An 8,743-nucleotide genomic window follows, 5' to 3' on the forward strand; every position below is an offset into this window, starting at 1 on the left:
CTTCAGCAGGGCGGGGCCAAACACCACCTGAAACTGCCTTGGTGCCAGGCTCTAAGCATTTCACCTATATTAACTCCTTTAACCCTCACAATGAGCCAAGAAGGTAGGTACTATTATTTGTCCCATTTTATAATTGGGAAAACAAAGGCACAGAGAGGTGATGCACTTTGCTTGAGGTCACATAGCTAGGAAATGGTGGAGGAAGGCTTAAAGACAAGGCAGTCTAGTCCAGAGGTGGGGCTTCTAGCCACCATCCTATGCTGAAAGCATGATAAGGGGTAGAGAATCACAGTCTTTACTGTTTCTATGGGTGTAAATACCACTTCAAGTTGCCTTTTGAGGAGAGTTGGAGACCTATGTACAGCTCACTGAAAATCTAAAGACTATCTGCACACTCTTCCCAGAAAACACAAGGTTGCAAATGTAATTCTAGTGGGTTGTGGGTCCCCTGAAGACTATCTGTGGACGCTACAGGCCTGTGAACTTGAGGTTAATGGGTGTGAGATTTCCAGTGTGGCCTGGAGACAGGGGTGGGGGAGGGAAGTGCGTTTGCTGGAGAGTGCCAAGCAGGGGGCAGACTGGTTCTGAGGCCATGGCCAGGCCCAGCTGAGCGCAGATGATGTGCTAGCCAGGCTGGCCGTGACTGCGTGCTGCCCAGCTCACTGCTTAGCTCTTTGGAGATGAAAGTGCTCGCCTCAAACTCTGAATCATCCCTTGCTATTTCTTTACATATTTTTGCAAGAAGGAAGTCTTTATTTGGAATGATTCACGAACATCTTATAAATCAAGAGATACACAAAACAGACTTCAAGGAGCTATAGAAACCTACAGAGACACAGAAGCTATAAAAACAAACTGTTTCCAAGGGCCCTGTGCTGTGGCAAAGCATGTCTCACATGCAGGGAAAAGAAAATTAAAATCAACCCTGTAAGAGATAGATTAGAAATCTAGTTAATATAATGCACAGCTATTTTCTTTTTTAATAAAGGGAGTCAAGGTAATACATACACATGATTAAAAAGTAAGAAATTTGGCTGGGGGCGGTGGCTCAGGTCTGTAATCCCAGCACTTTGGGAGGCCAAGGCGGGTGGATCACCTGAGGTCAGGAGTTTGAGACCAGCCTGACCCACATGGAGAAACCCCATCTCTACTAAAAATACCAAAAATTAGCTGGGCGTGGTGGGCGCCTGTAATCCCAGCTACTTGGGAGGCTGAGGTAGGAGAATCGCTTGAACCCAGCGGGTGGAGGTTGTGGTGAGCCGAGATCATGCCATTGCACTCCAGCCTGGGCAACAAGAGTGAAACTCCGTCTCAAAAAAAAAGAAAAAGGTAAGAAATTTGGAAAGTCCAGCAATAAAATCCAACAGCTGCATCTCTCCCCAGCTGAAGTCCCAAACTCTAAACGTAACTACTTTTACTTTTTCTGCTTTTGCTGCTTCTGGGAGCTACCTTTTTCCCTCTAAATAATATGCTTACCTTCTGTTGTTCTGCTCCGACAGACTAGGATTTAGATATGTCACCACCCTGTGACCCCACCATTTCTTTAGAGCTAAATTCCTATTTTTCACTCTATTGCATTGGTTAAGAATGTAACTTTGAAATGCAGTTGGCCCTCTGTACCTGTGTGTCCTGAATTCTTGGGCTCAATCAATCACAGATCAAAAGCATTTGAGAAAAAAAATGACATCTGTACTGAACATGTACAGACTTCTTGTCATTATCCCCTAAACAACAGAGTATAACAACTATTTACATAGCATTTACATTGTATTAGGTATCATAAGTAACCTAGAGATGATTTATATGGGAGGATTTATGATTTATAGTGGAGGATTGCATGGGTTATATGCAAATACTACACCATTTATATCAGGGACTTGAGTATCTGCAGATTTTGGTGGAGGGTCCTGGAACCAATCCCCCATGGGTACCGAAGAACAACTGTATATATACTTAAGTCTCTATCTCTCATTCATTCCACTTTTGCGAATCTGTCTTGTTTCCCTACTGTACAGATGAGAAAAGGAGGTTTGGAAAGATCATCCCTTGCCCAAGACCACATAGTTGGTAAATGGTAGAGCTGGATACAAGCCCAGGTCAGCCCCTACCATCCCCAGACTACAACTACTGTGGTCCCCGAGACATTTTTGCCTGACACCTATCCCTGAAGGGGTCAGCTGCTATTTTTACACCTGTTACTATGCAGAAAGAGAAGTCTCCCCCAGGACTCAGCTCTGCTGTGGATACCACATTAGCAGGTGGAAGAGGGGGGTTTACAGAATGGATTGCAGAGGACAGCAGTTCAGTCCTGGAAGTCTTGGACCCATTTGAATTCCGTCATTCTCTTGTTGCCAGAAGCAGGATTAAGAGTTACTCCAGGTTATTTTAAACCAATAAAGGTTGTCAGGTGGCAGTCTGCTCAGAGGTTCCCTGTTCAGCACTGTCACTCAATAGTAGCAAAAGACAACAAAGGTGTGGAAGTGAGTAGCTCTTTGCCTAGTGTCCTGCCCCAAGTCTGGAAAGACAGTAGAGGTCTCACTGGTGTCACCCTCACTGGGAGTCTCCCTCCTCTATGGAATGGTGGAAGACTGTTCTCATCACTCTTTGATAATTTAAATCCCAGATCAGACCTGGGTACAGCTGATAATAATTGTTTCTCAAGCTTTTTCAGTTGATCTACTAGTAGATCTGAATACAGAGCCCAACCTGTAATCCCAGCACTTTGGGAGGCTGAGGTGGATGGATCACTTGAACTCAGGAGTTTGAGACCAACCTGAGCAATGTGGCAAAACCCTGACTCCACTAAAAATACAAAAATTAACTGGGCATGGTGGCATGCACCTGTAGTCTCAGCTACTCAGGAGGCTGAGGCAGGAGGATCACCTGAACGTGGGAGGTCAAGGTTGCAGTGAGCTGTGATCCTGTCATTGCACTCCAGCCTGGGTGACAGAGTAAGACCTCATCTCAAAAAAGAATGCAGAACTCAAGGCCCATGGCAGCATCTATGTAGTGATGGGCTGGTATATTTTTTTTTTTTTTTGAGACGGAGTCTTGCTCTTGTTGCTCAGACTAGAGTACAATGGCACAATCTCAGCTCACCGCAACCTCTGCCTCTTGGGTTCAAGTTATTCTATGGCCTTAGCCTCCCAAGTAGTTGGGATTACAGACATGTGCCACCACGCCTGGCTAATTTTGTATTTTTAGTAGAGATGGGGTTTCTCCATGTTGGTCAGGCTGGTCTGAACTCCTGACCTCAGGTGATCCGCCCACCTTGGCCTCCCAAAGTGCTGGGATTACAGGCATGAGCCACTGCGCCCAGCCTATGCTAGTAAATTTTTAACAACTGGCTCTCCTTGAGGTGGGGGCTGATATGTAGCATTTACCAATTTCCATAGTGTAAATACTCCCACTATAGTTGATTTTGAGCTACCTGAATTTACTGAACATGAAATTGGGAAGAAACACACAGTAACAATTCATTACAAAGTATTTCCATCATACAAATGTAACAGATATAATAACCCAGAAAACATAATAGTAAAATATAAGAAAATAATTAGAAAATGATGATTTTTGAGTATTCAATACTTTTTAAAAATTTTGGTCATATTTATAATTTGATCTTTAATAATGGCCGTGTTTAACTGGCTCACAAAATTCCTGAAAATTTAACAGCCAGCTCTTGGGAGCTGGTACAAACCCACGTCAGCATGCCACTGCTCTTGTGGCCAGCTTAGGAATTTGCCACTGGAACTATGGCAACGAGTCAGGAAGCTGGTATCAATGAGAAGAAAGTGGCCAGTCTAGAAATCATAAAATGCCCAGGAGGATGGGTTCTGGTCACACCGAGAGAGCAGGCCAGGATAGGCTATATCTCTGAGATTCGAATACAGCTGGAATTTTATTCAGTGTACTCAGATGTGCAAAAAAGGACAGGCTTCTTTGTGATTATTCTTATCTTCCTCTAAGGCTTCTATTGCCTCTGGTGGGGGCAGAGGACTTCACTTGTCTATGAAAGGTAACTCAGGAGAACTAATTTTCTTTCCATTTAGTACAGTCTCTTCCAGATGATCTCGGCCCCTCTTGAATAATGGTCTAGTCTTTCCAATCTCTCCCCACCCCCTTGCTTGTTTAGCAAAGCTGGTGCGATATTTGCTAACACTGCCGTAATAAAGTGCCACAGATGGAATGGTTTACACAATAGGAATTTATTGTCTCTCACTTCTGGAGGCTGGAAATCTGAGTTTAAGGTGTTGGCAGGGTTGGTCCCTTCTGAGGGAAGGATCTGTCCCAGGCCTTTGTCCTTGGCTTGTAGCTGGCTGTCTTCCTCCTGTGTCTCTTCACATGGTGTCCTTCCTGTGTGCATCTGTCTCTGACTTCCCTTTTTTTTTTTTTTTTTTTTTTTTTTTTGAGACAGAGTCTCGCTCTGTCGCCCAGGCCGGACTGCGGACTGCAGTGGCGCAATCTCGGCTCACAGCAAGCTCCGCTTCCCGGGTTCACGCCATTCTCCTGCCTCAGCCTCCCGAGTAGCTGGGACTACAGGCGCCCGCCACCGCGCCCGGCTAATTTTTTGTATTTTTAGTAGAGACGGGGTTTCACCTTGTTAGCCAGGATGGTCTCGATCTCCTGACCTCATGATCCACCCGCCTCGGCCTCCCAAAGTGCTGGGATTACAGGCGTGAGCCACCGCGCCCGGCCGACTTCCCCTTTTTATAAGGACACAAATTATGTTGGATCAGGGGCTCACCCTACTTCAGTATGACCTCATCTTAACTAATTATATCTGCAACCACTCTGTTTCCACATAAGGTCACCTTCTGAGGCACTGGAGGTTAGGATTTCAACATAGGAATGGGGCTGGGCACAGTTCAGCCCATAGCAGATGGTATGCGGCTACAGAAGCATCAGGATGGGAAGGCATGTGCTCGTGTCCTTGTGGGGGTGGAGGCCCGGAGGCCGTCTGCCACATCCTTCCCTGTCTTCACTGTAGGGTGGCTGGGCCGGGCTGGGCCCCCACCATCCTATGCCTGCCACTGGCTTGCTCAAGTGAAGCTGGTCCCACCTGGCCCTTTTAGCCCCTACATCTGTGTTTCCTCTGGTCATTTGGTTTTTGCATTTTGTGGCGTCTCATTCTCCCCCAACCTTCTGGAATCCACTGGTTCTAAGGACTCAACCCCTTAGGGCTTTGGGCCCCCCAGCTGCCTCTACATTCACCTTGCAGGGCTCAGGGCTCTGTGAGGCTGTCCGGCAGCCCACCTTCAGCCTGGGGGGCCCATGTTGGACCCGGACCTTCCCTAAGACACTTGAGGAAAGAAAAAACAGCCCCACTGTTCTGGAGTTTCCTAAACTTACCCAACAGGAGCCTTCTAAACCTACCCAAGTGGGGAGTGGGACCTGCTCCCCTTCCCTGCCCCACATACACTATTTGCCTTCTACCTTCTCTCTCCCTCAGCTTCCCACACTGGAGATACAGTCTATTTTCCCCCAGATGAGTGGGTGCTTAAGTTATCTCTACCTAAGGCTCGTAGTAGAAGTCAACATAGAACTCTAAGCTATACTTTTGATCGTTAAAGTGAACTTTTTAGAATTTAGAAAAAAAATTATCTACTCAAAACCAAGTCTTCCTTTCAAGAGTAGTGGCCTTAATTTTTTGATCATGCATTCCTAACAACAAAAAAAACTTAAGCACATACATAAATGTATATTTAATATATTTGTGTATGCCATATATATTAATATATACTTGGTTATATATGTATATATGGTAACATGTATATCTGTATATGGTAGATATACATGTAACACTGTATTAATATATTACATGCGTTATAACACATACATCCCAAAATGGACATTTTAAAAGATAAGGTAAAAAATGAAAATAACAATTCTAATATTTGCTTTCTGTCCCCATTGTGCTGTCTTGGGCACACCCCACTTTAGAGACAATTTTTCACTACTATTGTCTTGCAAGGGATTAAAAAAAATGAATTTGGCAACCAAAACTAAGCAGTGAACTGGTTGTTCCCAACAGTATCTCTCTTTCCCTGAAGCATAGAAACCTGTTGATTAAATGAGTGGAGAGCCACAGAGCATCATGATTTAAGTGGAAAGAAAAATATACCCCTTCAATATATTCAAGAATATAAATTCCATTCCATGGAAACCAAATACAATGGGCTGGCCCTGATTGCTAAGGCCTGAGAGCAAAACAGACTTTCTCAGGAAGGAGAGCGGGAAGGAAGAGCCACCAGGAGGTGCACAGGGAACAGGGCAAAGAGTACTGAGTTCTGTGTGTTGGGAATAAAAAAGGACATGCAGTCGGAATCAGGGCTTCACTGTGTTTCCCATGGGCTGAGCAAATCCCCCTTTTGAATAGCATATGGCATTGCTAGTCCACATGGAAGTCCCCATGTCTGAACACCAGTCCTGATTGTAGGTACAGTCATAGGACATCCTTGTACGTATAGCATTTCCCACATGGGAGCATTTGAGAACCCAGGAAGTCAGAGGAATTAACTATAATTCTGTCCTTGCATTTCAATAAAGACCTCGGACAAAGACTGGGGGATTTCCAGCAACTAGTCACTTACCTTAGATTTGTTATGTTGGTTATGTTGCAGTGTGGTCAAGTAGAAAAGCAGAAAGTTCTTGAATCCTGGCTACTGCTTGTAAGTTAGCTGACTTTGGACAAGTTGACTGTGCTAAGCCTTGGTTTCCTGTCCATAAAATGGCCCAATACTAAATAATACAATCTATACATAGTGTCTATCATATCGCATGGCACACAGTAGGCATTTAGCAATCCCCATTAAAGTTAGCCAATAGGCAAAGGACAGACTTAATAAAAGTTTCCCCTCAAATTTCCTAGCATCTCCTACCTGCCTGATGCCTGCCCCTCCAACCAAATCTTGGAGGGGTTAAAGTGGTCTGTTTAAAAAAAAAAAACTTTTTAGGAATGTTTGACTTTTTAATTAACTTTAAAATTAATACAATTTTTGCATAAGAAACGACAATCATTAGGAAAATTACCAATGAGTTTTTTTGTGTTTTGTTTTGAGATGGAGTCTCACTCTGTCACCCAGGCTGGAGTGCAATGGCACAACCTTGGCTCACTGCAACCTCCACCTCCCAGGTTCAAGTGATTCTCTACTTCAGCCTCCAGAGTTGCTGGGATTACAGGCGCCCACCACTATGCCCGGCTAATTTTTGTATTTTTAGTAGAGACGGGGGTTTCACCATGTTGTCCAGGCTGGTCTCAAACTCTTGACCTCAAGCGATCCACCTGCCGCGGTCTCCCAAAGTTCTGGGATTACAGATCTGAGCCACCGTGCCCAGCACCAATGAGCTTCTTACCATGTTTATTTTGAACCATCTCCCCTCCACTTCCATAGTATTTGCATCTGGATTTGATGCGAACTCCCCAATCATGATACATTCACGTTTTTTATATGAAGCTCTTGAAAATCTGACCATCCTCAAAATCAAAAGGAGTGTATGAGGCCAGGTGTGGTGGCTCAGGCCTATAATCCCAGCACTTGGGGAGGCCAGGGTGGGAGATGGCTTGAGTCCAGGAGCCTGAGCAACATAGACCCTGTCTCCACAAAGAAACAAAAACAAAAAAAATTTTTTTTAACTTGAAAAGATGTGTGTCACCCATCCCCAAACCTGGGACTTCAGGCTGTACGGCAGATGGTAGAAGTACTTATGTGAAGGCTGTGGGTGGGAGGAGACACTTCTCACTGCTGCTTGCAGCTGAACCTGCAGTAGCTCCCTACTGGAGGTGCAGGCATAAACCTGGCAAAGCCTCTATTGGGCCTGAAATGTCAGCAAACAGCCGCCACCTGTAGTTACTCGTGTGGGTACCAGCGCTATCCTCAGATGGCCTCTCTCACGGTCTCCCTGGAGGTGTGCTGGGTTCCGGGGGAATCACAGCTGAGCTGAGCCACTGGAGTCGGCTCACCAGATTTGCACAGAGCTGGCCTTCCAGGAAGTGGGGCAGCAAACTGGCAGGTGGGTGACGAGGGTGGCAGGACAGGCGGTTGAAGCTGGGGATTGGAAATAATCCTCCTGGAGGTGTTTCTGGAAGGACAGATCTGTGGTAAGCATCACAGTGAGGGGCTTGGGCAGCCGAGAGCAGCTGGTGATGCGCAGGGAAGGAGGTGCCTGCTCCTATTTCTACTAAAGCCTACTCTGTTTATTTTTACTAAAATGTTTTAAAAATAAAATGTATAAAAAGACGAAGTTTTGAAAATTACAACACAGGCATGGTCTTTCTGCCCCCACGTTTGTCTTCACGTCTCTAGGGCGACCTGTTGGAGGCCCTCGTGGGCTCTGGCGGAGTGAGAAACACTGCCACCTGCTGGGCCTTTTGAGAATGTCAGTGAACTCCGCCCGCCAAACCCAGTTCCAAACCTTCCCCTCAGTTGCAGGTTCCGAGATCTGTGGCAGGCTTTGCCACTGGCCCCAGGAAGGAGTTACTCAGCTGACCAGAATATAGAGATAATCAGCTAGACCTTGTTTTTTACCTTGAAGAGAACTGGATTAAGTGAAAATTTCAATACTTGCCTCCTGAAATAATCTATTTTGTCCTACAATTTTATTGCCTCCATAGAAATGAATACAGCCAAATAGCACTAGATTAGATAAGCAGAACTGTCCTTTAATAGCTTCAGCCTTATCAGCTACGGGACATGGGGCAACCTTCAATTTAGTAGTTATATCTACCACACAGAATTATTTT

The 8,743-nt window shown here is 45.3% G+C and overlaps 1 annotated feature.

Moving 5' to 3' along the window:
- Nucleotides 4,604-5,106: an enhancer, noted in NCBI's record as "H3K27ac-H3K4me1 hESC enhancer chr14:65099836-65100338 (GRCh37/hg19 assembly coordinates)". NCBI's record gives its function as "activates a minimal SCP1, AML or CMV promoter by ChIP-STARR-seq in primed H9 embryonic stem cells {active_cell/tissue: H9 hESC(primed)}" and the evidence as "EXISTENCE:reporter gene assay evidence [ECO:0000049][PMID:30033119]".

The sequence above is a fragment of the Homo sapiens genome, chromosome 14 (assembly GCF_000001405.40).
Source record: "Homo sapiens chromosome 14, GRCh38.p14 Primary Assembly".
Taxonomy (NCBI): domain Eukaryota; kingdom Metazoa; phylum Chordata; class Mammalia; order Primates; family Hominidae; genus Homo; species Homo sapiens.